General features: G+C 52.3%; 1 protein-coding gene and 1 pseudogene across 2 annotated transcripts, besides 4 other annotated features; both read left to right on the plus strand.

The window, feature by feature from the left end:
• Positions 1-27,963, plus strand: C8orf74 (chromosome 8 open reading frame 74). Of its 2 annotated transcripts, none has more exons than NM_001040032.2 (4): positions 1-86; positions 2,019-2,211; positions 24,972-25,378; positions 27,608-27,963. In NM_001040032.2, the coding sequence occupies exons 1-4, from the start codon at positions 39-41 to the stop codon at positions 27,842-27,844; spliced, it is 885 nt and encodes a 294-aa protein (NP_001035121.2). In that variant the 5' UTR covers positions 1-38; the 3' UTR covers positions 27,845-27,963. The 2 variants fall into 2 exon arrangements, with proteins under 2 accessions (NP_001035121.2, XP_047277449.1); XM_047421493.1 differs by lacking the exon at positions 1-86 and adding an exon at positions 1,032-1,073 and having other exon boundaries at positions 1,956-2,211.
• Positions 5,578-6,079: an enhancer, noted in NCBI's record as "H3K4me1 hESC enhancer chr8:10535715-10536216 (GRCh37/hg19 assembly coordinates)". NCBI's record gives its function as "activates a minimal SCP1, AML or CMV promoter by ChIP-STARR-seq in naive H9 embryonic stem cells {active_cell/tissue: H9 hESC(naive)}" and the evidence as "EXISTENCE:reporter gene assay evidence [ECO:0000049][PMID:30033119]".
• Positions 6,080-6,579: an enhancer, noted in NCBI's record as "H3K4me1 hESC enhancer chr8:10536217-10536716 (GRCh37/hg19 assembly coordinates)". NCBI's record gives its function as "activates a minimal SCP1, AML or CMV promoter by ChIP-STARR-seq in primed H9 embryonic stem cells {active_cell/tissue: H9 hESC(primed)}" and the evidence as "EXISTENCE:reporter gene assay evidence [ECO:0000049][PMID:30033119]".
• Positions 6,596-7,135: an enhancer, noted in NCBI's record as "H3K4me1 hESC enhancer chr8:10536733-10537272 (GRCh37/hg19 assembly coordinates)". NCBI's record gives its function as "activates a minimal SCP1, AML or CMV promoter by ChIP-STARR-seq in primed H9 embryonic stem cells {active_cell/tissue: H9 hESC(primed)}" and the evidence as "EXISTENCE:reporter gene assay evidence [ECO:0000049][PMID:30033119]".
• Positions 7,136-7,673: an enhancer, noted in NCBI's record as "H3K4me1 hESC enhancer chr8:10537273-10537810 (GRCh37/hg19 assembly coordinates)". NCBI's record gives its function as "activates a minimal SCP1, AML or CMV promoter by ChIP-STARR-seq in primed H9 embryonic stem cells {active_cell/tissue: H9 hESC(primed)}" and the evidence as "EXISTENCE:reporter gene assay evidence [ECO:0000049][PMID:30033119]".
• RNA5SP252 (RNA, 5S ribosomal pseudogene 252) lies at positions 13,942-14,060 on the plus strand (annotated as a pseudogene).
• Positions 27,964-27,974: the final 11 nt, after the last annotated feature.

Consider the following 27,974-nt stretch of genomic DNA (forward strand, 5'->3'; position numbering starts at 1 on the left):
AGTCTGGCTCCGTCTCCTGGCAACCAGATGCAGGGGCCATGGCACTCTTAACACCCCAGGGAGTGAAAGAAGTCTTCCAACTTCAGGTGAAGGAAGAGAAAATGTGGCTTTTAAACAGAAACTGGCTCATCCTGGGCACATAGGGAGGTGGGCACTGGAAGCGCCTCTTCAGGAGACCCCGGGGCAGCCACCCCGGCTCAGCACAGCACCTCTGAGGCTGTGACGAGATGTGGGGCCCAAACTTCAGGCCAGGGCTTACCAGCCCCTGGACCTTGTGGGCTGTTTTTCAAGCCACATGCAGGCCCAGAAGGAGCAGATCCTGCCTGAAGGGAAGTGAGGGACTGTGCCTGCCTCCTCTGGGACCCTGAGGGTCCTGCGAGCCACTGTGTGCAGGGAGTGTGTTGGGGGAGGCTCTGCTGCTTTCTAGGGGGTGCTGTCTAGATTAGGCAGAAGAGTGGTGGCAGTGGAAGAGGAGTCTCTGGGGGCCGAGGACAGGACTCTAGGCCTCCCTCTGTCACTAAGGCCACCATTGGTCCTCCAGGGTCCCTTGGGGTCCTCCCAGCCAGAGGATCCCTTGCCTCAGGAAAGCAACACTCTTGCGTGTGGTGGGTGGGTCTCTGCTGCACCCCAAACATTTTTTTGCCACTTCCTTTAAGTGGCACTTGCTTCTCCTACATCTGCTGGGAGCCTATAAGAACTTTCCAGAAGGGCCAGCTGAACTCTCAAGTAAAATGGGTTTTTACTTCTAGGCAGGGAAAAAAGTTTACCTTTTCCTCTTGGCCTGCCCGTGTGTCTGAATTTTCACCAAGCAAGACTCATTCCTTCTGCTAAAGCATTACCTCACCAAGCCCCTTCTTGGTCAGTCACTTACACTGTAGTATAAATTTCATTGTCAGATCAATGCCTCTACTGCAGTCAGTTAAGAGTAGACTCAGGAAAGTCAAATTTTATTTTAGGCAGGGGGATAGGGATCGTATTTCAGAACCTGAGGCCTGCTGGAGGTACACAAAACCTGGGCTGCAGTGGCCAGCATGAGAACTCTCAGAGGAAAGAAAGTCCTAGAAGAAGAGCAAGTCCCAGGAGGAGGGAGTGCTGCCCAGAAACCAAAGCACAGCTCTTCCCAGGGGTACCCACATACCTAGTTACTCTTCAGGGCTCTGGAGCACCACTGTGGGGACCCCAAAAGTGTCTTACCCAGTAGAGATGGCTTCTCAACTCCTCAACCCCATATTATACCCTGCAACCCCCATATCACACTCTCCAGCCTCCATATCATACCCTGCAACCTCGATATCATACCCTGCAGCCCCATATCATACCCTCCGACCCCCATATCATATCCCACAACCCCCATATCATACCCCACAACCTTCACATCATACCCCGCAACCCCCATATCATACCCCACAACCTTCATATCATACCCCGCAACCCCCATATCATACCCCACAACCATCATGTCATACCCTGCAACCCCCATATCATACCCTGCAGCCCCCATATCACATCCCACAGACCACACATCACACCCTGCAGCCCCCATATCACAGCCTGCAGCCCCCATATCACACCCTGTAGCCCTCATATCATGCCCCACAACCCCATATCATACCCCACAACCCTCATATCATACCCTGCAGCCCCCATATCACACCCCGCAGCCCCCATATCACACCCTGTAGCCCCCATATCATATCCTGCAACCCCCATAGCACACCCTGTAGCCCCCATATCATGCCCTGCAACCCCCATATCACACCCCGCAGCCCCCATATCACACCCTGTAGCCCCCATATCATATCCTGCAACCCCCATAGCACACCCTGTAGCCCCCATATCATGCCCTGCAACCCCCATATCACACCATGCAGCCCCCATATCATGCCCTGCAACCCCCATATCACACCCCACAGCCCCCATATCACACCCTATAGCCCCCATATCACACCCCGTAGCCCCTATATCATGCCCTGCAACCCCCACATCATACCCTGCAGTTCCCATGTCATTCCCTGCAGAGACCACAAGGTCGGGAGCGCCTGCGGAGGCTTCTGAACTGGGAGGAGTTTGACGAACAGAGAGACTCCCGGAGGAGCATCCTGCTGGACACCCTCTACGAGAGCATCATCTTTGCAGTGGGCAAAGGCTTCCCATGGGTGGAGGTGGCCCAGGTGGTCAAGTTCACAGAAGAGCTGCTAAGGGAAACCAAAGGTATGGTGTGTCCAGGGCAGGAGTCAGCAGAGGCTGGCGGGATGGGGTGGGTACACATAGAACTCCCCTGCCGTCCACAGCCCCAGCAGCCTTGGAGGAGCCAGGGCCCCTTCCTGCCCTTCCCTGGCATTGGGCCTCCTCACATGCTTAAAAATAAGGTCTCTACTCAGCCTTCCCAAACATCCTCACTGAGTCTTCATTGGTCTGCCTGACTGCAAATCTGAACCACTCCAAGCTGTTTGCACAACAGCCAGGGTGTTTGCTTTTGTTTTGTTTTCGTTTGGTTTTGCTTAACATAAATCAAATGTGTCACCTTCCCTGACTTAAAACCCTTCATGGACCTGAAGGGCTGCACGTTGTTCCTGGTAGGAGATCTGGCTTTGCTGCAGGTGCCGGGGGAGTCCTGGAGCTTGCTCACGCAAAGATGGGGGATGCAGTCAGGTGGGTGCATGGAAGCAGCATTGCCCACTCCCTGGCCCTGTGCAGGGCTTGCATGAGAAAAGGACCTGGTGGCATGAGGAGCTGTGGTCACTCCACCCACCTCTTGGGCAATGAAGTGCAGATTCATTCATTAAGCAAATACATGGGGCAGGCTCTCTGGGGCTGCCCTCACAGTGATACTTCATTCCACTGAGAACCATCCATGGGTGCTGAAAGTGGTGGGCGGATGCTTGATGAGAAATGGGATACTTCCATGCTTTCTAAGAACCTCTCCCACAACATCCTTCGTAGTGACAAAGAGAAAGGAATACTCTTACAGGGAAGAAGCTGACAGCTGCCTCCTTAGTCAAATGATCCAAGTGGACATTGTCAGTAAAAGGCCACACACAGAATCCCGTGTGCCTGGTCAGACGCAGTGAGCAGCCAGCATTCTCCTGTGATGGTTCCAACAAAGACTCATGGCCCGAATCTAATCAAGAGAAAACAGCAAAGTAGGACCATGGCTCAAAGTAGCCCTCCTGCCAGCTTCAAATACTCGAAGGCCATAAGAGCCCAGCAAAGACTGATAAACCTTTCCAAACTGAAAGAGGCGAAGGGATGTCTTCACACGTGACCTGTGGCCTGTCTGGGTCTTTTTGCTATGAATGAGGTTATTGGGAGAACTGTGGAAACCAGAGTGTGGTCTGGGGACCGGGTGGTAGTGACATGTTCAGGGTGAGGGTCTGGATCGGATGGGTCGTGATGATGAATGTTCTTGCTTTAGGAGATACACGTGAAAGGATGCTTCGGTGGGGTGTGTAGGGTGGGGCACTTCTTTTAAGTGGACTGGGAAGAGTTTCTTTCTACTATTGTTGCAACTTTTCATTTAATTTATTTTGCTTTGAAATTATTTTCCAAAAAAGTATAATAATTTTTTTTTAAGTGAGGTATATTAGAGGTCTTCCCTGGCTTTCTGGTCATAATCTCAGTAGCTGCCAATCACACAGGCTGCACGAGGCTGTGTCTCTCACACACAAGGCGCCATCCTTAAGGCACCCAGAACTCATCACTCAGTCCTGCTGGCAACACCTCAATGTCCTTCTCTAACCTCACCACTTCTGACCACCCCCAGGGCCAGCACCATTTCCACCCCCCTCTCTTGATTGGTCCACTGCTTTCAAATCTTGCATTCTGCAATCGATTTACCAAACAGCGAGTGCTTTTTCAGACACACAGAATGTCCCACGGCACCTCTGTTTGAAGGCATCCAGTGCTCCCAGCCTTAGGCACACCTGGGTCAGCCTTTCTTTAATCTCTTCGGCTGCCAGGTTCTCTTCCAATTCTCTCCTGCCAGCCTGCGTTCCCACCCAGTGGTCCCAGCCTAAAGGCTAGAGCGAGACATGGCATCACTCACAGGCTGGACTCAGAGATTCTCGGGACATCTCATCCCCCTCCTGCCATCCCTAGCCCCATGGACAGGAGCCTTCAGGGTATCCCTCAAGGCCCTGCCTCCCCACTGCTCACAGCCACATGTGAGTACCAGAGTTCAATCCCGGTGTCTGAGCTCTAGAGGGGCTCGTGGCCAGAACAAACACTGACAACCAGGAAGAGGAATGTCAGCCGCAAGCAGGTGGGAAGCGAACTCTTTCAAGTCCCCATCAGAGCCTCCACAGGCCAAGCCCTTGGAAAACAGTCGATGATGATGCAAACCCAACTTCAACCCAAGATTAGGGCGCTCTGGAGCTTTCGGCACTTCTGGTTGGAGCATGCCTTATCAACACAGCACAGCTATGTCTCATGGACTCACCAACTGAGTGCACAGAAAACTCCTCTCCCTGACTGCAGGGAGCCCCTGGATGCCAACTAAGCTCTTCCAGCTTCCACAGACACCCCCTAAGGAACAGGGAACCCCTCCTCCTCCTGCACTTCATTCCTTACATGACCACACTCATCATTAGGAAGTCCTTTCTTGTATCTAGCCTACAGCTGCCTTCCGCCCCTCTCCAAATCTGTCTTCCAGATTCTTAGCAGCGTGTGGGCCCTGAGCATATTTATTGGGCTTCATATAATGCGACTAAGTACATCTTTCCATTTGGACTAGACATCCTAGTACCTTTCATTATTCTTTTTAAAAACTCAAATACTTACTGAAATGCTAGCTAAATTTCTGCTACATACATTTATCTAGAGCTTCCATAAATCATATATGTCATTTTATTTATTTAACATATGTTCATTATTTACCATATTTTAGTCTTCAGATGCTATATATAATGAGTCAAATATGCCTGTGTTTACTACCACCCATACCACACCACCTCTTTTTTTATTTTAATATGACATCATTCCCATAGACCCTGCCCCCACCACCTCCTAACTAACCTCTGCCCCCTCTCTTGCTGCCCTCATCCAGGTAGCCTTGTGTTTGCCAGTATTATTCTTAACATACGGCATCTGGATTCAAACACAGCAATCGGTGAGGTGGTCAGGGATGTACCACCTCCCCTGTGTTGGTCATGATGCTCCTGTTTATATAGCCGATGGGTGCACTGGCTTTATCAGCATCAGGTACACAGATTGGCATCAGGCTGGCAGTCCACTAAAGCCCGTAACCATTTCCCCATCCTGCCCTTGTGCAATGGCGATTTCGAATACACCTGCAGGATCTCACAGTCACCCCCACGGATACCACCTCGTTCAGACTGGCCTTCCTTTCCTTCCTCCTGAAATCTGCTCAGCCTTAATCCTGGGCCATCCACCTTACGAGTTCCTCCTCTCACTTTCGTATCATCTGAAAGCGTGTGAGGCATGGTTAATACAAACATGGACTCGAAACAAGCTCTTAGGTGGGCTTCCCATGCCTGAAATTAAACTGGCTGAAAATAGACATCAGGAGGCTGGGGGTCCAGAGGGAAAATTCAGGTCTTACCTGGCCCTTTACTGGGTGCGTGGTCTAGGGCAAGTCTCATCCTTCTGAGCCTCTGTGGACACATCTAGAAAAATGGGGATGCAGGATCACTCTCCACCTGGGATTGTTAGAAGGATCAAATGAGGCTGTGCCTTAAAGCCCACAGCATGGTGCTCGGTGCCTAGGAAGCGCCCAGTGAGTGGCACCTTTATTTTTAGGAGACACAAGGACCTGGGAACTCGAGGGAGCAGGATGTGATCCAGAAACCTGGCATAGTCAGGGGTCACCCGCTTCAGACGGGCCCTAGCAAGGACGAGGCCCAGTAGACACGTGCCAGGGCCCTTTCTCCTCAGCCCCTGCACTGCCCCAGTGACCCTGCACTGCAGGAGATGGGGCAGGACCAGAGGCAGGACCAGGAAGTAATTTAAAAAAAAAAAAAAAAAAAGCAAACTGCAGATTTGTTTCAGAAGTCAGGAGCAAGATGGGAGACAAATGAGACTGTCCCAGTTCTGCCCAGTGGGTGACTGACCCACCAGGAGAGCTGGCTCCTGACAGCCATGCCAGGCTGGCTGCAGTGGGGAGAGAGTAGGCAGCGGAGTGCAGCCGCAGCACCCCAGGGTGCAGAGCCCCACGACAGCCAGGCCTCCTGCACCTCGGCTCACCACGGTGCCATTCAGGATGGTGCCTGCTGTCCCTGAGCCAGGAGGCTGGCCCAGGTGGCGTCCTAGTCAGCACCTGTGTTCTTACTGCCTTGCACAGGGACACTCGTGAGAGCGAGAACAAGCCCTGCAGTCCCCCAGATGCCGAGGGTAGAATTCCAGCTGCACCTCCTTCCCGGGTTCTCCTCACTGACAAACGCTGCCGTCACCTCCAGGCCCAGGCTGAGCCCTACATGTTTCTGGGGACCCGGTTTTGCCATTTCCTAGCTGTGGGACCTTGGCCATTCCCTCAGCCTCTCTGTGCTTCAGGTCACTCGTCTGTAAATGTGGGGCAAGAACAGCATCCACTTCACAGGCTTGTTGAGTTCATTTATGGCCCTGGAACGGTGGTCAGCATAGAGGAAGCCCTGAAAGTGTGCACTGGAGTCGGCCTTTATGTTACACCCGCTTGCAGGGGTCTCAGGCACCCTCCTGGGCTCCACTGTCCACCTGGAACTTTAGGTCTCCTGCATGCCCCGCCCGGACAGCAGCGGCCTAGGAAGTCCTGCAGTATCGCTCGTGGAAATCACAGCCTTTCCTCCCTCGGCTTTGCTCAGTTGTTTCTGCTCCAGTTCTGCCCAACCCCAGCCCTAACCTTGATCTTCTCTGGTGTCATCCAAGTGGCACTGTGCAGGTTTGGACCATAGGCTCTGAGTCACCAGCCGTTATCTATCCTCCATTCTCTCCTGTGCCCTCCAGCCCTGGGTAAACTCCCCTCCTGACTAAGCCTCTCCCCGTCCTTGGATCGCATCACCCAGAGCTGATCTTGGCCCCTCCGCGTTGGGCCTCATGGGCTTAGCTTCTCTCTCCAGGCCACAGCCACGGCCTGGCTGCCTCCCACCTGCGTTTCTGCAGCTGCGTCCTCTCTGGGCCCTGCAGGCGTGCCTGGCCCGGCCCCTTCCCTGTGATGTCTGCGTCCTCTCTGGGCCCTGCAGGCGTGCCTGGCCCGGCTCCTTCCCTGTGATGACTGCCTTGTCCGTCCTTCTCATGCCCTGCTTCACCAGGCCGTCCCCTTTCTCTCTCCACTCAGACCACAGGCCTCCCTGGAGTCCTCAGCTGGAGAGTGAGGAAGGCCTGGCCTGGAGAGGCTGGAGCTGCCGGAGAGGGGTCTGCGCCCTGTACATCTTTGTCCCCTCCGACCCCCCAGTGCTGAGCGATGCATATGGCACAGAATAGGAGTTGAAGGAAGAAACCAGTGAATGAATAAACTAATAAATGAGTCAATTCCCGATGCCCATGGAGACAGAGAGTTCAAGATGCGCAGAGGCGGCGAGGGGCTGGTCTTGCCCCAGTGACGCTCCTTCCACACTGCAAGCACCGCCAATGTGAGAGGCAGCAAACAGCAAACTCTGCAGTCAAAAAGTCTCAGTTCAAATCCCACTGCGGTCACGACACTGCATAGCCTTGAGAACGATAGTTTCCTCTCTGTGCCTCCGTTTCCACCTCTGTCAAATGGGGGCAGTAACAGTTCCTACTTATAGGAAGGAGCAAATGAATCAGACATGCAGCACTCACAGCAGGATGACCAGCACATAGTAAGTGCTTAATCAATGTTCGCTACCATATGGCTGGAGGGGACACAGGATGGTCCCATATCCACATCCACCTATGTCCAAGACTCATCAAACAGACAGAAGGTGCCACCCTCTGCAGCCATGGTTCAGGGCAAGAAGGAGCTGCACGCAGGCCATCAGGGTGCTCACTGTCTACACCCTTTCTTGTCTTGCCTTCATCCTGCAGATAGTTTCAAGGCATGGGCCAGCAGAAGGGAGGCCCAGACCACCTCTGACCTGGACTCTAACCAGCTGCCCACACTCATGCTTGGCCCTGAGCACACAAGGGTGCCAGCCTTGCTGCCTACCAGACCGAGAGAGCAGGAAGCTGTTTGCTGTCCTCAGGAGGGGGCCCAGGCGGCCAGGGGCAGAAAGAGCTGGCGTAGCTGGCAAGTCAGGTCCCTGGCACATTCCAGCTCTTTTCCACCTTGCATCCCACCCTGTCCGCCTCCTGGCATTGTCCCCATTTCAGAATGTGGGTGCAGGCAGCCCAGGCAGGAGCGGGGGTCCTCTGTCTGTTTTGGCTAAAATCCACACTGGGCTTTCAGTCATCTTGGAAAGCGGCTTCTCCAGGGATGTTTTTGTTGTTGTTAATCTGGAGCTAAGGATGGTTGCATTGTGTTTGCATTCTAGATAACAAAGCTGGCAGTCGCAGTGAAGGAGGGTCATGTTTGCACAGCAGTGATTCAGAGCTCTGCCAGGACAGCTGCCAGTGCAGTTTATCTCCCAGTCCGATCAGGCCTTGGCGCAGGGAGGGAAGGTGGCCCTTTCTTCAAAAGCTTCAGCTGGCTCTGGCCTGGCAAACGCCTCTCCAGGACGTTCTGCTCTCCACACCAGGCCAGAAGAAGGAGTCCTTTCCTTGTGCCTTCTTGGCCAGCCTCTGGGAAGCTCTGGGCAGATCACATCCAGCCATCTCCCCCGGGTCAAGGGTGAAGCCACCAGCCGTGGCACAGAGGGGCGGGAGTCTTCCAGCTTGGGACGTCCTGGTGGGAGAAAACCACAGGAAGGGGGCACAGTTTGCCAGCCTTATCTAATCCTGGGGAGGCTCAGGAGAGGAGAGGGATGTGGGGGCCTTGAGGAGCCGCAGAGATTTAGGGTGCCCAGGAGGCCTGCACAGGAGGCAGGGAAGGTGGGGACAGCCTCCCCTGCTTCAGGCTTCCCTTGGCAGGAAACTGAGCCTGGAGGTGTCCCACCTGTGGCCACCTGGCACCTGCAGGACCTCCCCAACCCACCACCACTCTGACCTCTGTGCTGCTCCGCCCTTCATCATCATCACGCGTGGCAGGCACGGCCTCTCTTGGACGCTCTTTCAAGACAGCTGAAGCAGGAAGAACCTTTGCATATGGCCAGGCCCGCCAATCCCAGGCCTGGCAGGAGGCGGGACTTGTGACCGGTCAGTGGAGGCACAGGGCAGCCGGGTGAGTGCCTGGTGAAGAGCGTCATGGTCCTGGCATCTGCAGTTCCACCCATGGCCACTCCTGGTTCTAAAGGAAATGCTGCCCAGGTAGCCTAGGATGGGAAGGCAGACACCTGCCCACAGCAGCCTTGGCGGGCAGGAGGCAGTGACTCTTCCAAGCTCCTGGCATGACAGTTCTTGTGGGGACACTCATGGCCATGCCCACGGTCTGCCCGGCAGCCCTGAAGTACCCCGCCCTCACATCGGGGAGCCTCCAGCCTCTCAAGACCCCTGAAGCAGAGAGAAGGTGCCAGCCTCTGCAGCCTGGGAAAGGCCTCCAAGGACCCCTCCTTCCCAACCAGAACCTGACACCCCTCAGGCGAGACCTGGAGGGGCCTTTAAGTGAGACTTCATGATTGATGGATGGTGGAAGTCTCCACAGCGGCCCTAGATTAAGATCTTAGAGGAGCATTTCTTGGGACAAACGAGCAGCTCTCCTTTTGTAGATGCCTCCGTGCAGTATTAGTTTACCAGGGTTGCTGCACAGAACCATGGACTGTGTGGGTTCAACAACAAACATTTATTTCCTCATAGTTCTGGAGGCTGGAAGCCCAAGGTCAAGGCCGTGGCAGGGCTCGTTTCTCCCGAAGCCTCTCTCCTTGGCTTGTGGACATCCGCCTTCTCCCCACTTCCTCTTGTGGTCTCCCTCTGTGCACCTGTTCCCTGGCGTCTCTGTGTGTGTCCACATTTTCTCTTGTTATGATGACAGCAGTCCTGTTGGATGAAGGCTGGCCCTAATGATCTCATTGGACCCTAATCGCCTCTATAAAGACCCTCTTTCCAAGTATGTCCTGACATACTGGGGATTAGGACCTCAACACGTAAACTAGGGTGTGAGCAGTACAGCCTGTAACACTGAGCAAGGCCACCACTCCTCGGGTGAGCCGGTGACAGTAAGTAGGTCAGAAATCAAGACGGGGCCATAGAAACCTTCCCCTGCCTTCCGCAAGAGACTATCCGTCCCACAGAGGGAGGCCTTGTGTGTCATGTGCTTGGCCTTTAACACAGCTTCTGTAATTGTCACTGCAACCTGGCTTCGCAGGTGCCATTTGAAAGATGAAGACACTGAGGTCTGGAGAGATTGGGTAACTTGCCCAAGGCCGCACCTCGAGTGAGTGGTGTTGGGATTTGAACCCAGGTCAGCATCCACCCAGCTGAGTGACTTTTCATTTGGACAACGGGGACCTATCCACTCATCCAGGGGTGCAGGAAGGCCTGAGAAGCAGGCAGCCCAGGAGACCCCCATGGCGAGTGGGCCAGGGCTGCGGAGTGCAGACGGAGCAACACCTGGATGAGCCAGGTCACACACCTGCTGACTTCCTAACTGGGTCACCCAGAGCTGCTCACAGGAGAGGCTGGGATCCTGGCCCCAGCAGGAAGGCTCCAGGATGGTACGTGGCCCAGGCCTACCTGGCAGGGTGAGTTGTGCCCTTTGGCTAAGGTGTCCTGGCCTGGATGTGCCATCTGTGTGTGGGCAGATGGTACACGTTCTCTCAGGACCCCTTCCCACATCTGATTTCTCAGGTTCTTCCTCCATCAGCTGGACTTACTGGTCAGCCTTGGAGCCCCCAGCATCAGAGGGGACAAGGTATGAGGATGGAGTAGCCACATCTCAGGCTGGGAATGGCACTGTGTCCCTGAGACTGTGGGACTGCCTAGTCGCTTTCATCTCTGGGGGATGATGACCATGAGGATGACCAGGACCCCAAGTCAGGGCTCCCCTCACCAAGCTCGAGTCAGCTGCAGGGCTTGGCCAAGATGCACTGGCAGTGCCCCAGCTGTGGCTACAGGGACCGTCAGCTCCACGGAAATCCCCACAGCTTATGAGAGTTGAGAGGAGCCCCAGAGGTCACTGGATCCAACCCCCATCTGACAGACATCCAGGAATCCCGTCTTTCCGGTGTCTGAGCATCTGAGGCCCTCAGCTGTGAGACTGATGGGGAATGCCTCCTCACTTCTGGAGAGAAGACCTACTCTGCCAGTGAGCGGCCGGTGCTTCTGGACAATTCTTCCTGCTGTTGCACTGAAAGCTGCCTCTTTGAGCCTTCCACCGGCTGGCCCCTGTTCTGCCCCATTCTCCAGCAAGCCCAGAGTGAGCCCAAATCCCTGCGTGCTAAGGAGCCGGCCCTCCCACGATGCTAGGCAGGAGGTGACTGCAGCAGGACAGGAGCCCCGTGCTTCCAGGAGGACCAGGGAAGGGGATGATGATCATAATCTCAGCCATAGACATGGCACACTGAGCCCTCTGCCCATATCATCTCATTTAGTCCCCATGGCAGTCTTGGGTGGATGGGTACTGCTGTCCACATTTCACTAATTCAACTGAAGTTCAGAGAGGTTTGATAACTTGCCAATCATCACACAATAGAGGGAAGAACCAGTACTAACCTTGAGACTTTCTGGCTGCAGAGCCTGTCCCTTCTGCCAAAGCTCTTTCACATGAATCATTCTAGCTCCTTGAGAAATGGCGGCAAGGATCAGTGAGGGGCCAAGTCTCCTAAGCAGACCAGGTAGGGGGACCATTATGGACAAAGAGAAGGGCGTGGACAAGAGTCCATGACAGTCTTTAAAACATGTGGTCCTGAGCTTGCCCTCTGAGCCCTAGGCAAGTGACCAAAAAAGATGTCTTTAAAAGAACAATGAAATATTTCTAATCCTAGTGTTTGAGTAGATTTTCCCCTTAATATGGATATTGGTTTATAGTAGTCCCCTCTAATCCATCAGAGATATATTTCAAAACCCCAAGGGGTGCCTGAAACAGGGGATGGTACCACACCCTATATCCACTACTCACAAATTTATTTTTCTCTCTTCACAATTTCACAGATAGAAGATTTGTTCTTACGTAGTTCTTAGAAACCTCAGCATATGATTTTCTTTGTTTCCTTACGAAATCGAGAACTTTCACCTTTTCACTGAAAGGAAGCACTTGGTGGCTTCTGTTTGGCATATCCGAATTGCCAGCATCACCACTGTTGCCCTTTGGGGCCATCATTAAGTCAAATAAGGGTGACTTGAGCATGAACGCTGAGATACGTCGACGGCCCATCTGATAACGGAGATAGCTCCTAAGTGACCAATGGGAGGGTAGCATTGAGAGTGGGGGTCCTCTGAAGGAAGGAGTGATCCACTCCCCACAGGGGGCGGAGCAAGATGACCCAGATTCCATCATGCCACTCAAAACGGTGCAACATCTAAAACTTATGAACTATTTATTTCCGGAGATTTTTACTTAATCTTTTTGGACTACGGTTGACCACAGGTTACTAAAACCAAGGAAACTGGAGCTACAGTTAAGGGTGGACTACTGTATCTTATCAAACAAACTTAAAAGACATAGTGGATAGGAAACCAATATGGCAGTTCTTCAAAAAAGCAACCATGGAAGTGGCATATGATTCAACAATGGCTTCTCTGGGTACACACCCAAAAGAATTGAAAGTGGAGACTTGGGGAGGTGTTTGTACATCCATGCTCATAGAAGTATTACTCACAATAGCCAAAAGTGGAAGTCACCCTAGTGAGCATGGATGGATGAATGGATAAGCAGAATGTGATCTATCCATACAATGGAATATCATTCAGCCTTACAAAGGAAGGCAATTCTGTCCCATGCTACGACACGGAGGAACCTTGAAGACATTACGTTACGTGAAATAATCTAGATGCAAAAGAATAAATATCGTATGAGTCCGTCTATGAGGAACACAGAGTAGTCAAATTCATAGAGACAGGAAGTAGAATGGGGATTGCCAAGGGCCAGGAGGAGGGGGAGTGGGGAGTTAATGTTTAATGGATATGGAGTTCTAGTTTGGGATGATAAGAAAGCTCTGGAGATGGATGGCAGTGATGGCTGCAAAATAATGTGAATGTTCTTAATGCCATAGACTATAAACTTAAAAATAGTTATAATCGGCCGGGTAAAGTGGCTCACGCCTGTAATCCCAGCACTTTGGGAGGCTGAGGCAGGTGGATCACGAGATAAGGAGATTGAGACCATCCTGGCTAACACGGTGAAATCCTGTCTCTACTAAAAATACAAAAAATTAGCTGGGCATGGTGACATGTGCCTGTAGTCCCAACTACTCAGGAGGCTGAGGCGGGAGAATCACTTGAGCCCGGGAGGTGGAGGTTGCAGTGAGCCGAGATTGCACCACTGCACTCTAGCCTGGGCAACAGATCGAGACTCCATCTCAAAAAGAAAAAGAAAGGAAGTAGTTAAAATGGTCAGTGTTATGTTATGTATATTACAACAATTGAAAAATTAAATTTAAATCTAAGAATGCTAGTGGACATATTGTAGTGCTGTATATTTCATATATCTTCCATTCACTCCTAAAAAATGGCTGTGTTGTACTCTCCTTGGAGTTGGAGGATCTGGACTGAGACCTGATTTTGCTACTGAATAGCAGTAGGCAAGCCACATGCATGCTCTAAACCTCAGTTTCTTCATCTGTTAAATGGTGTCAAATACCTATTTCATAGGTTGGTTGTGATAACCAAATGAGTTGATGGATAATGTAAATGCTTTAAAACTGTAAAATAACACACTAATGTAGTCATAGTATTATTTCCTGAGAGCTTAGCACTGGGCAGCAACCACATGTCCAGAGCTTTCTGGGAAGATTTTCCATTATCTGCCCTGTCGTTCTCATAAGCACCCACATGCTTTTCAGTACAAGAATCTAGACTTGGGTCTACAGCCACACCACCTTGAACATGCCTATCTTGTCTAGTCTTAGAAGCTAAGCAGAGTCGGACATGGTTAGTACTTGGATGGGAGACCGCCCTGGAATACCTGGTGGTATTAAAAAATTAATTAATTCAATAAAGTAATAGTAATAAAAAGAGAATTTGGATTTGGGAAGTCTGGCCCATCTAGCAGGTTCTTGCCATGGAGGCACCCACAATAGTGGGGAGAAAGAGGATAAAGCACAAGGGCCTGTTGAGTTATGCAGTAAGTGGTGTCCTATTCCCCTACCCATAACTGGGGACCCAGCCCACTCCCAGCTGTCCTGTCCCCTTCACTGTTTGAGTGACCAGGAAAGAAAGAGCCTCCACTACTCTTTGGGTGGGGCCCCGTGCCCGCCCATCCCACCATAGGTGAGTAGAATCACCAGGCAACCGCCAAGAAGGGATTAGATTGAAGAAATCCAGTCTCCAGGGTTATAGTCCTAGAGCCATGCTTCATTCTCTGCCAAACCAGGTTCAGTCCAGGAGCCCACACAGCCCACCAGCTGTGTAGGAATGCCAGCAGAGGCCTGATGATGGCAATGACGGTGACAATGGCATTACTTATTGAGTGTTTACTGTGTACCAGGCACTGTGGAAAGCACCACATATGCATGCTGTCGCCTAATCTCACGAGGTAGAGATTTTTATTGCCTCTATTTTACAGGTAAGAACACTGCTGCCCATGTCTCTTATACCATGGAATCAATATATGCAATGGTTTTTATTAAAAGTCTTGCATAATAGAAATAGATTGCATTACGGCTAGGCGCAATGGCTAACACATGTAATCCCGGCAGTTTGGGAGGCCAAGGCGGGTGTATCACCTGAGATCAGGAGTTCAAGACCAGCCTGACCAACATGGCAAAACCCCCATCTCTACTAAAAATACAGCTACTTGGGAAGCTGAGACAGGAGAATCGCTTGAATCTGGGAGGCGGAGGTTGCAGTCAGCTGAGTAAGATCGCTCCACTGCAATCCAGCCTGGGTGACACAGTGAGACTCCATCTCAAAAAAAAAAAAAAAAAAAAAAGAAAGAGATTGTATTAGAAAAACTGCTTCCAGTGTGAAAAGATTCTGCTTTTAAACACTATTTTTAAATATGTTTACTTTTCTGTGATTTTATCATCATTGCACAAATTAGGAATAACTTATTTTTCAGGGTCACCATCTTCTTAAAGTAAATCTTTCATTTAATTATAGCATACACAGAGAAAAATGCATAAATTATAAATCTTCATCTTGATATTTCTCAGAAAGTGTGCCCATTTAACAGCATCCAGAACTAGAAAGTAGAATTAAAACATTATCAGCAGCCAGGCCAGGTGCAGTGGCTCACACCTGTAATCCCAGCACTTTGGGAGGCCGAGGTGGGTGGATCACCTGAGGTGAGGAATTCAAGACCAGCCTGGCCAATAAGGTGAAGTCTGTGTCTACTAAAAATACAAAAATTAGCCAGGCGTGGTAGTGTACACCTGTAGTTCCACCTACTTGGGAGGCTGAGGCAGGAGGATCACTTGAACGTGGGAGGTGGAGGCTGCAGTGAGCCAAGATCACGCCACTGCACTCCAGCCTGGGCAACAGAGCAAGACTCCACCTCCAGAAAAAAAAAAAAAAGAAAAGAAAAAAGAAAAAAGAAAATTATCAGCAACCAAAAGCCTCTTTCTGACTCTTTCCAGAAACTACTACTGACTTCTAACATCATAGTTGGGCCAGTTTTAATAAATGGAATAAAAAAGACAAAGAAAGAGAACACTGATGCCCAGAGAGGCCAAATAACTTCTGCAAGTGATGAAGTTGTGCAGCCTGAGGTTAGCCTGCATCTGCCTGAATCCCCAGTCTGTGCTCATACCAGACATACCCTACTGCCCCTGACAGAGGAGCCGAGCTTCAAGGAATGGCCCCAGCATCAGTGCCATCTTCAGTCCCATCTTCAGTCCAGGTGTTCCCTAGGCGCAATGGTGGCTGCTGTGTGACCGTGAATGGTGGCTGAGAACAGAACACACAGCTATTGAATCCTTGGTGCCCAAGTCACAGGGCAGGAGGATGATGCATCTCCAGCCAGCGTGGTCCTCCTTTGGCCAGTCCGGGCCCATCCTGATGAGGTCAGGAGGGATGCAGCTGCTCCTCTTCCCCCATGGGAGTGTCAGGCCCAACCAGCCTGCCCTCTCTCCTCTCCCTGCAGTTTACCAGGTGGCTTTGGAAAGGGGTCACCCTGAAGGGACCACTTGTGCTGCAGTAGGAGGTGGGAAGATCAACAGACCACGGACCCCGGGACAGGCAGGAGCCACAGAAGAGGTCTCAAGCAAAGGTGGCAAGCTCTCAGGGCTCTTCCTGACAATCCTGCCTGTCCCCAGGCCGTGGACAGCAGGTCAGCCACAAAGCTAACTCCCAAGAACAGCACCTGGCCCAGTCTCCTTCCCTGGCTCCTCCGTTCCCTTCCCTGGGCAGACAGTGCCCCAGCCAAGCTTTCACAGACATTTCTGACCTATCAAAAAGCACCAGGGCTGGGGCAATGAAAAGAAATAGACACCAATCCCTTCCCTACACAGGGAGTGGTGATGGGGAAGGCAGCTCTACCACCAGGTTCCCGACCCCTCACACCTGGGCTGAAGCTCAGGTCCTGACTTTGCCACAGGTTAGCTTTAGGCAAGTCTCATCCTTTTTCTGGGCCTCAGTTTCCCCATTTGTAGAGAAAAACGATTGTACAAGCTCAACATTTCTCCTTGGTCCAGAGAGATGTGCTCCTTGGTCCAGAGAGACTACTTGCCCCAAATAGATTTGAGAAGCATTGCAAACGCTCCATGCCTTTTGGTGATCTGCTAAGCTCATTTGCATATTTTGTTGAGCTCATTAGCATATTAAAGCTCTATTTAATCTCCCTGGATCCAACATCTCTTAAAGGGTCTCTCTGGCTGTGAAACATTCATTTTGATATACAGGTGACTCTTGAAGAACACGAGATTTAGGGCCGCCAACCTCCTGTGCGGTTGAAAACCCATGTGTAACTTTGGACTCTTCCAGAATTTACTTACTCATAGCCTACCGTTGACCAGAAGCTTACTGATAATATAAACAGTCGATTCCCATACATTTTGTATGTAATATGTATTATGTACTGTGTTCTTACAATAAAGTAGGCTGAAGAAAAGAAAGTATTAAGAAAAACATAAGGAAGAGGAAGTACATTTACCCTTCATTAAGCGGAAGTGGATTATCACCAAGGCCACTCTTCTCGTCATTTTCATGTTGAAGAGGCGGAGGGGGAGGAAGAGGAGGGGTTGGTCTTACCGTTTTGGGGGTGGCACAGGAAGAAAATCTATGTGTAAGTGGACCCGCAGGAGTGTCTGGAGGCCAAAAGTTAGAATTCAGCCTAGGGACTCCTTCCTCGTGCAGTTCCAACCCACGTTGTCCCAGAGTCAACTGTAACAGCTACTGCAAAACGTTCTTTGGAAAATGTGACCAATGGGGCTGGAGGTCCCTTGCAGTGTCCACCTCCAAGAATCTACAAAAAGACCCCAAAGCCGCTTGGAGCTGGATGGCCTGGAGTCTGAATACCACCTGAGGGGCCCTGAGCAAATCCCTCAGCCTCTTTGAGCCTCAGTTTCTCTCCCGGGAGGAGAGGGGTTGGTACCTGTGCCAGACTCACCGTGCTGGGAGCTGGGAGACCGAGTGACCCAGAGCATGCATGGCACAAGGCGGTGGGTGCTCCCTAACTGAGGGGAGCTCACCTGGGCGGTACAGTCCCCGGCAGCCAGGGGTGAAGGAGTTTAGTAGTCTCCCCAGGAGCACAAAGGGGGCAGGGGGCAATGCGGCGTGCGGGGGATGAAGGATGCTGTTGGGTGGAGATGCTGGGCCCTTGCTTTCGTCTGCTTCCCACCACACTGGGCCAGCCCTGGTAGGCGCTCAGGTATTGGGAAAGGTGAGCAGTGCCACGCTGTAGCCTGACTTGGTTCCTGCCCCTGGGAGGCAAGATGGGGGAACCAAACTGGTTTATCGGGGTACCTGAGTCCACCCGCTCAGGCACACCCAGAAGGAGCAGCCTTCCCCGTTTCCAGCCCCGCAGGGGTGTGGCGCATCTCCCCCCGGCTCGCCCAGCCCAGACTCCGGGTATGAGGGCCCAAGGAAGCCACCGGAGCCCCCTGGTCCGAGCCGTTTCTGCCCTGATCGTGGAGCTTCCCGTGCTGACATCTGCCTAGCAAGCCTCCCCCGCCCTTCCCCTCCTCATTCCTCTCCTCCTCCACTCGTGCTGCATATCCTCGCAGGTGCTGGCCTCCAGGGGCTTGGGGACCATCTTCAGGAAGTTCCCAGCAGCCAATGCAAATGAGGGCCACTCCCTGTTATTGAAGAGCAACTTGCAGGCACAGATCTGTCCGCCCGGCAGCCAGCGGCTTCTCCCTGAGACTTAATCCCTCCACTTTCTGAGTCACCAGGAACTTCTCAACCCGAGGCCCAGGGAGTGTGGTCCGAGGCCAAGAAAGTGTGTCTCATAAGCCGGCTTCCAACAAGCTTTGCTGAAACCCAGAACCAGCCAAGAGTGTCTGGGGGCCGAAAGTTAGAATTCAGCCCAGGGACTCCTTCCCTGTTGACCCAGGACAAGGTCTACACTTGGTTTGTATGACCTCTTAGGAGCAGGTCACAGCCCATGGCCACAGTGGGGCATCGGCCAGGATGATAAGCCGCCAGGACACCCAGGCACGGCTGCTGAGCACATTCACACTACTGAGCCTGGCAGACTTCTCTTTTCAGATCTGGGTTTTGTGTACGGCTGCTGGGGCTGAACAGAAGGGCTCAGAGGCTGGCCTTCGCCAATGAGGCAGACACAGCCACCCACAGCTGCAGGATGCAGGTGACCCCACCCCATGCTCCGTCAGGCCAGGCCAGGCTGGAGGAGGAGCAGGGCACCTTCTGGCAAGTTCAGAGAAGGTGTGATGAGTCATCTGATGAAGCTCACACACTGTCGCACACACACAGGCCCAGAGTCCAGCTTGCTGATCAAAAATGATGGCCTCATGCCTGCTCACCCTCTGGGATCCCTCAATGGGCAGCCTCTGCTGTCCTCCATGCGGCCACCGACTTCCCTCTGGGATGGCCCCAACCTCTCACGTCTGGCCTCAGTACCTCTCCACCAGGTTCTTAACCCCAAGGAATTTGATAATCCTATGTACGCTATCCTTGGAGGTCCTGGTGTTCCGTGATGAAGTCAACTCTTTCACATGGCACATAGGGCTGTCATGAACCACCCTGTCCAAACTGACCACAAGCCCTGGGTCCCCCAGCTCAGTCCGCAGAATCCAGTTTTGCCTCCTGGACAGCTGGGTGTGGCCCTGTGCACGCAGCCATGCTGTGCCCCTCTCACTTCCGGCCTTCACTGCTCCTGGCCCCTCTGCTTGGGGTGGCCTTTCCCACCATCCTCTGGACTCCAGCCTGGTGCCCCCGACACGGGGCATGTGCAGACGCCCTGGCCTCTCAGAGCTCCTTCTTATCTCACTGCATCCCTGCGGGGAAGCTCCTGCCAATTGATGGCAGGCCTGCACGCTCTGATGCCCAGCTCTGAGTGAAAGGACAGGAAGGGACACAGGGCGTGTGGGGCCAGGGGTTCTCTGCTGTTCTGAGGGCAGCAGCAGCCAAGAGCTTCTGGTCAGTGAAGCAAGACCTGGACCCTGCCCTAGGCTGATCCCCGCCGAGGCCTTGGCCCTTCCTTCCGACACAGCTCGTTCCTCCTGCTGCCAGAATTGGCTCCCTGGAACCTGGCTCCGCTCACCCCCTACCTGCTGGAAACCCTTCTGCCATGTCTGGGTGGGCCTGGCCTTTGGGGCCTGCTCTGCCAGCCCAGCAGCCTCCATGGTGAAAGCCTTGGCCACAGGCAACATCCCCCAGCACCTGGCACATGGGAATGTTCCCTAAATAAATCCTTTTGTGTGTGTGTGAGACAAGCTCTCACCCTGTCATCCAGACTGGACTGCAGTGGCACGATCTGTAGCCTTGACCTCCTGGGCTCAAGTGATCCTTCTATCTCAACCTCCTGAGTAGCTGGGACTAAAGGCATGCACCACCATGCTGGCTATTTTTTTTTTTTTATAGTGTTCGGGTCTTTCTATGTTGCCCAGGCTGGTCTTGAACTCCCAGGCTCAAGGGATACCCCTGCCATGGCCTCTGAAAGTGCTGTGGCCGCCCATTCCCTTGTGTCCATTCAAGAAGTCTCTCCTTCTCTGCAGAGCACCTCCTGGGAGCTGGGCACTGCTCTGGCACTTGGCACCCAGCAGTGAACAGAAAAGACCGCCTCTCGCTCCCTCGCAGCTTGAGTGATAGTGGAGGGAAAATGACCAAGAACAAATCACACAAGTAAAATGCACAAGATCAAAGATCGTGATGAGTACTCTGGAGAAAGACTCCATCGGGGGTAGGGAGATGGGCAGTGGAGAGGGCCTCTGCCAGATGGCGGTCCTGGGAGTGGGACCCCTGTAGGGCAGGGCATGCTAGGGGCTTTGAGGGCCTGGCCTACCCAGCCTCATCTCCAGCCAGGCAGCTCCTTGCCTGCAGATCTCCAGCCTGCTCACTGCCTTCCTCCCCGACCTTTCAGTCCCTCAGTGGGCCATGCCTGCTTCAACCACAGGGCCTTTGCACAAGCTGCTCCCCCTCTTGCCTTGCCCTTCACCACCTCTCTTTGCCCAGTAAACCCCTCTGACCCAGTACATCCCAGCTCCTTTACTGCCTCCTCAGGGAAGCCCTTCCTGACCTTCTTCCTGTCATGTGTGCTGCCAACCCCACACAGCCTTGTGCAGAGCTAGATATCTGTGTGTTTCCTCCCCACTCCTCAACCACCTCCCTGGAACCTGGAAGAATTCTTGGCACAGGGAAAGCCCCCAATAAGTATTTGCTGACCTAATGAATAAACACCTCCACCTTGACATATTAGAGCTGGTTCACTTACTCTCTAGACTTTGATTGGGCCCCTCCTGTACACAAATCCCAATGCTGGGGGCTGAGAATACACAGGTGGCCATCATTTGTTCAACTGTCTCCTCTTCAAGACTGGAAGCTGTCTGAGGGCAGGGGTCATGTCAGACGTCAGCGTCTCATCATATGGTGTTCTCTCTGTTGGTAGGCCCACTGTCCCTCAAACATCCTCTGTAAGAACCTGGGGGTTGTGCCAGTTTCTGTCTTGCACACCCTACGTCCGAGGACGGCCAGGTCCTGCCACTCAGATCTGCTCCTTCTGTGCACTGCCCAGAAGACAGAGCCCTGGCTTCTAAGTGTGGCATCCATCCAAGGCCCTTGGGTCTGTCTTCCACCCACCTCTCCATGCAGCTCTTGCCATCATCTGCCTCCACCTTTAGGTGCCAACGACAACAAGCCTCACCTTGCTCCCACCCAGGCCAGGCTGCTGCCTGCTCCTCTGCTGTCACTCAGCTGGGCTGTGAAGTGGCCCCACCTCTGGCCCTGGCTCAGCCTCACTCTGGGATGCAGCTCACACATCGCCTTCTCTAAGAGGACCCGGTCCTGAAGCCCATGCTGTTGTTCACCCAACTCTGTTCCTCTTTACTATGCACTGTCATTATCTGCTTGTGTCTCTCCTGCAAGCAACTGAGAGCAGGGGATATGACTTATTTGTTGTCATAGTATTGCCAGAATCTTACATAGTGCCGAGTAATTAATAGACAGTAACAATTTATAGGTTCAGTCACCGTTTGACAAACTAATCTTGGATGAATGGAAGGATAAATATGTAAACTGAAAAGTATCTGAGACAGGTCTCAATCAATTTAGAAGGTTATTTTGCCAAGGTTAATGATGTACCTGGGAGAAAGATCCGTTCCTTTCTCCAGAGATAATTTTGAAGGCTTCAATATTTAAAGGGGAAAGTGGGCTGGAGGGGAAAGAAGGAGGGTATGGTAATCCACATGTTGCAAGAGAAAAGGAGCAGGTGGGGAATAATCAATTATGTATTCCTCCCTTGCTCAGTAAATTGGCACTTTGTATAAGATAAGGCAAACATAGAGTAGCTACCTGTGGAGATATTTAACCTTTTATTTGTAGCTACCTGCTTAGGAATCAAAGAAAAGACAGTTTCTTGTGTTACTCAACTTTCAGCTTAATTTTTTTCTTTTGGCATAGTGAATTGGGTTCCCAAGTTTTTCTTTTCCTTTCACAAATGAATGGAAGGATGGGTGAATGGATGGGTGGATAGATCAAAGAATTAATGGATGGATGAATAGGTGAATGGATAAACAAACGGGTGGAAAAATGGATGGATGGAAGAGTGGATGAATGAATGGATGGAAGAATGGATGGACGAATGGATGGGTGGACGGATGGATGGATGGATGGTTGGGTGCATAGATGGGTGGGTGGAAGGATGGACGGATGGATGGATGGATAAGTGGAAGGATGATGGATGAATGGATGGATGGGTGGGTGAAAGAATGGATGAATGGAAAGATGGACAGAGATGAAGGAAGGAAGGAATAGAGGGAAGGCTGGATGGGGGAGGGGAAGGGGAATGGAGAGATTTTTTTTGCAAAGGTAGAAATAAATTCTTTCTACAGCATTTATTGATTGCTGGCTTGTATTAGGCTCTGTACGAAGCTGGACATCTTACCCCATTTGACCCTTCCAACAAGCCTGTGAAGTCAGTATCACTATTCTGAATTTTACATTTGAGAGAAAAAGGCCCGTGTCATATCTAAGAGAGACAGAGTATCTCAGACCTCCAAACCCAGTACCCTCCCGAGAGGAGTGTAACCCTTGGGCTCCAAGCCTGCTGGTTTGCCATGACAGAAAGGAGAAGTACAGCCTCCAGTCTGTGATTCTGCATGATGGAGCAGTCCCTCCTTCCCTCCCCCTGGAGGCTGAGATTGCCAGAATCCAGGCGTCACTCCCAGCACATCCTAACATGGCTCCAAGTGGAGTGGTGCCCCTTTTGCTAATATTTTCCCAAGACCATGATGTCTCCACCCCCTGGGTATTTTGGGGAGATTCAAGGTGAATATTTCCATACAGAGCAAGACAGCCTCAGTGACCAGCCAAGAGGAAACATGAAGGGAATGGGGGGTGGGGAGACTTCAAAACAACCTCGTGGGCAAGACTGAGACAGTCCCTGCTGAAGGGGCATGGAGCACTCTAGCTGGGGGTGGGGAAACCGCATAGGGCCCCATGGAGGGCTCACATGAAGGAAGAGAAAAGGAAGGAGTCTGTGGACAAGTCAGGTCCCCTACTTCGGGGAAAAGCCCGGCTCCTTGCCTACAGCATGTTACTTTCATTGTCGGCAGAAGGAACTGTGGAATTCTCCAAAGCACATGATCTGGTGGGCGCCTGGCCCAAGCCCTCATTCTTCAGAGGGGGACACTGAGTCACAGAGCAGAAGAGGCTTGGCCAAGTCCACAGTACATTTCCAGGACGGTGTCTGCGAGAACCCAGGTCTCCACGCCTGGGCCATGCTCTTCTGCTGCCCTTGACTTGCCTATCTCTCTGCCTGGTGTCTGCTCATTTGCTCACCAGGGTAGGCATGTAATTCAGTCACGACCCTTCATGAACCACCTCCTCTGTCAAGACCCAAGCAGATGATGGGAGAGCCCTGCCTCTGACCACTGTGCTGAGCACCTGAAAGAGTCGTGAGCAGGAGGAGTGAAGGGGAGAGGAGGAGAGAAGTGGGGAGATGGGTCACCCCCACAAGGAGCACTGCCCTTGGTGCTGCCCTCAGAGCCAATCCTTTGCATGGGGTAAATAATATTTTCCCAACTCTGCAACATGAGCCACCAGCACAGCAGTGGCCTGGGTATCAATCAATCACTGCCTGCTCCACTCTTTTTTTTTCTTTTCTTTTCTTTTCTTTTCTTTTTTTTTTTTTTTTTTTTTTGAGATGGAGTCTTGCTCTGTTTCCCAGGCTGAAGTGCAGTGTAGCTCGATCTCAGCTCACTGCAACCTCCACCTCCTGGGTTCAAGCAATTCTCCTGCCTCAGCCTCCCAAGTAGCTGGGATTACAGGCACCTGCCACTACACTCAGCTAATATTTGTATTTCTAGTAGAGACGGGGTTTTGCCATGTTGGCCAAGCTGGTCTCGAACTCCTCACCTCAAGTGATACACAGGCCTCAGCCTCCCAAAGTGGTGGGATTACAGGTGTGAGCCATCACGCCCCACTGCCTCCTACTCCACTCTTATGGGAATTCCTTTTCTACATTCTCATCTCCTTCCTAAAGAGTTAGAAGTAGAAACAAGATAAAGCACAGCGAAAGTAACTCTTTAAAACAGGCATCAAAAGACACAATACTGGCCAGGTGTGGTGGTTCACTCTTGTAATCCCAGCACTTTGGGAGGCCACGGTGGGAGGATAGCTTATGCCCAGGAGTTCGAAAAAAAAAAAAAAAGACAAAATACTGGTAATGATAATGTGATTATACTGAGATCATATAATCACATTTACATGATTATACTGGGGTAATCATATAAGAAATAAATGGGATAAGTGTAAGTTACTGCAAGTAAAAAAAGAAACGTGGTACACTCGATACCTTTCAAAAGCTAATGCATGGTAATAAGAATTGCAGTTAGGGCCGGCATGGTGGCTCACACCTGTAATTCCAGTACTTTAGGAGGCCGAGGCAGGAGGATCGCTTGAGCTCAGGAGTTCAGCCTGGGCAAAACAGTGATAACCTCATCTCCACAAAACATAAACAAAATTAGTCAGGTTTGGTAGCATGTACCTGTAGTCCCAGCTACACAGGAGGCTGAGGCAGGGGGATTTCTTGAGCCTGGAAGTTGGCGGCTGCAGCGAGCTGCAGCTGCAGTGAGCTACGATTGCACCACTGCACTCCAGCCTGGGTGAGAGTTAGACCCCGTCTCAAAAAAAATAAATAGAAATAAATATTTTTTAAAAATGCAGTGGGGACATGGGCTCTGTGACCAGGCTGTCGGGGTGCAGAGCCCACATCCACTGCCTGGCAGGGCAGCTCTGTCCCACTCCCACTCTGTTCTTGGCCCCTGTGCCTACAGGCTGCTCCATTACTGAGGCTGTGACGATCCTGGGGAACAAGCTTAGAGATTACCGGGGCCATTTCAACACCACCCACCTGCTGGCCCTCTGTGACTACTTCCACCACACCTTCATCCGCCACTACAAACTCTACCAGTATGTCCTGGGCCAGGACCAGCAGGTCGACCTGACCGTTGCCCACCTGGAGGTGTGCATGCCACCCCATCCCCTCCCGCTGGCCGAGGGCATGGACAGGGACTTGTGGATCCACGAGCAGCAGGTGGCCACACTGACGGAGGCCGAGGCACAGAAGCGCGCCGACGTGCTGCTCCTGAAAGAGGCGCTGCGCCTGGAGCGGGAGAACTCGCTGCAGAAGGCGTTCGCTGCCGCCGCGCCTGCGCAGCCCGGCCAGGTCCTGGAGAGACAGGTGAGGCTCTGCCCCCCTGCCGTGGGTGGGCACCTGGGCCTGCAGAGACACCAGCCAGGGCTGGAGTCACTGCAGATGGGAGCTCCTCAGTGGCACACAGGGGAGGGGGAGAGATGCAGGGAGGAATCAAGAGTCTACCACGAGCTTCGCGGTAGACTAAAGGTAGAAATTCATGTCCCTATTTTAGTGATGAGACGACTGAGGCGCAGAGAACATTTTAACTCGCCAAGGTCACCAAGCTAGCATATGGTAGAGTTCACATTTGGACTGAGGCCTGGCTGACCCTGAAGTCTAAGTTCCTTCCTCTGTGTCATTGGTCAGTGACAGATTCCACCAAGAGAGGCAGGAAAAAGACTCCAGCTTTGGAACTGCTGCAGATTATCCAGAGCCGGCATGCCCCTAGGATGGGGGAGAAGATGGAGGAGGCAGGGACATGGGGACAGCTTGGGGAGGGTCATGTGACCAGGGAGACAAAGGCTGGAGCTGGGGCCCAGGGAGGACTTAGGAGGATCCGGTGCCTGGATCTCAGACTTTGGGCTGCCCTCTTGGAGGTTCTGCCAGACCACTGGGGCTCTAGCTGCCAGCATTTCCCATGACCAGCTCTTCAATGACCATGACGACCCCAGCCTCAGGGTAGCTGACTTCTTGAGGGCCTGGCCAAGCCTACATTAGTTTCTTAGCTATACATAGGCACTGAAGTCATCATTGTTGCATCATCTCTGAACATACTTTGAGAGACAAGTATTTGCATGTGCGTGTGTATGTATGTGCCTGTGTTTCAGGCATTGGAGTGGGGGAGTTGCAGGGCCTGTGAGTTCCAAGGGATTTTGATTTCTGAATCATCAGCTGAAGAGCAAATGGCCCTGGGAAGTATTCCTTTAGGGTTACACACACACCACACACACACACACACACACACACACACACACACACACACACACGAAAATCTCTAAAGAGCAATGAGCATAGCAGCCTGGATGGTGCTCATCCAAGGATAAGTCTCCAGACAAATAGCACATCAGGGGGCCATGTGATCTTAGTTCACGAAGACATTCAATAAAGACCCAACAAAACCCACGCAACAGTCTATGTCTCTGGCCCCCTGCAGGGACCTTGCTCTAGCACACGGAGCAGGGTGGGGCATGGCCACAGTGGCCCCTACTGCCCTGCACTTCCCACAGCTGTTCCTGCCTGCTCCTCCCAGCTCGCCGCCCAGCCTCCAGCATGGCACTGCTGGCCCCTGCCTGGTGGAGCTGGTGAGCCAGAGCCCCCTACACTGTGTGCCCCAGCTATGCACCTGAGATGGGGCACTCAAGGGCATAGAACAAAAAACACCACGCATTCTCTTATAGCACAACCTTCCCCAATAATGTTGTTTTCTACAAAAACAACAAGAGGATATTCTGGGGCAAATGCACAATTTTGCATATCTTTTAAGTGAATACAAGATCTCAAAGAAATGCACTACATCCAACCAGTTGCTTCCAGTGTGTCCCCTGACAATAGCTCCTATGCTGTGTGGTTGCTCGGGCAAGGAACCTAGAGAAACACAGTTACGTGGTCCATGTATCCAGGCTCTGTGGGCTATAACTCTGATGGAGTTGACCAACAGGGTTTCCTGTTTAACATGATGGGTGGACAGTGGCTGCATTTCCATTCTTCCTATGGCTGGCTGGGTGGAGGACACACCCACTCTCTGAAGCAATTTCCCCTGTCCCCTCCCATGAAGCTACCACTAGAACTTTGAAAGGTGAGAATGAGGATGGTGGGGGCCCAGGGTATCCAGATGGAGCCTGCATTGACCAGGAGGTAGGGTCTATAGGAAATATGGCACTGGCCGATGGGCCCAGAACAAATGACACACTCAAACAGCCTGGCCGTCACTCTAGGCAAGAAAAGAAAAGGGAGGGAATGACTATTGGAATCCAAAAAGAGAGCTTTAGTTATAGGCAAGGGCTGAGGGACAGGGAATGTGACTACCCATAGTCCGTGGCCATGGCCAGGCCACAGCCAGTCAGGAGAAGATGAGGACCTCCCCACCCTCAGACCTCCCGCCCCTAGTTGGCTGAAGTCAACCAGAAGCCAGAGGTCCAGGCAACCACGGCCCGTGGGCAGGGTGAGACGGATGGACAGTGGACACATTCTCGTACCTGCAACAGGGGCTGAGTTGAGAACTGGATCCGGCGAGGCTCCCCAGCCCTGCTCATCGGCCTTCCCCTTTCCTTCCAGGAGTTGGAGAGCCTCATCTGCCAGGCAGTCCACACCCAGATGGAGCTCCTGCAGGAGCTGCTGCAGCGCCAGATCCAGAACACATTCGCCATCTTGGACCTGAAGCTTCAGAAGAAGACTCTGAACCTCAACGCCCCCACCCCTATCCCGCCCCCCATCACCAGCCACGCAGGCCAGGAGGAAGCCCTGAAGCCCCAAAGAGCGAGCAAAGGAAAGAAAGCGAAGGCAAGGAAGTAGAAGGTCCCGACTGCCACACGAGACTGACTGGGGACCAGCCACCCATAACCATGAGCCTTGCGGCACGGTGAGCTCAGCACCCACAGAGAGACTTCTTGTGATTAAAAGAAACAAACCCATGCCATCATCT

This window comes from Homo sapiens, chromosome 8 (genome assembly GCF_000001405.40).
Source record: "Homo sapiens chromosome 8, GRCh38.p14 Primary Assembly".
Classification (NCBI taxonomy): domain Eukaryota; kingdom Metazoa; phylum Chordata; class Mammalia; order Primates; family Hominidae; genus Homo; species Homo sapiens.

What these genes read in the sequence shown, in the direction of transcription:
- C8orf74 (XM_047421493.1), top strand. Translation starts at nt 1,032, where the DNA reads ATGAGAACTCTCAGAGGAAAGAAAGTCCTAGAAGAAGAGCAA. An exon ending in AAGTCCTAGAAGAAGAGCAA is followed by an intron (nt 1,074 to 1,955) that starts GTCCCAGGAGGA and finishes CACACCCCGTAG; the next exon opens with CCCCTATATCATGCCCTGCA. An exon ending in GCTGCTAAGGGAAACCAAAG is followed by an intron (nt 2,212 to 24,971) that starts GTATGGTGTGTC and finishes CTGTGCCTACAG; the next exon opens with GCTGCTCCATTACTGAGGCT.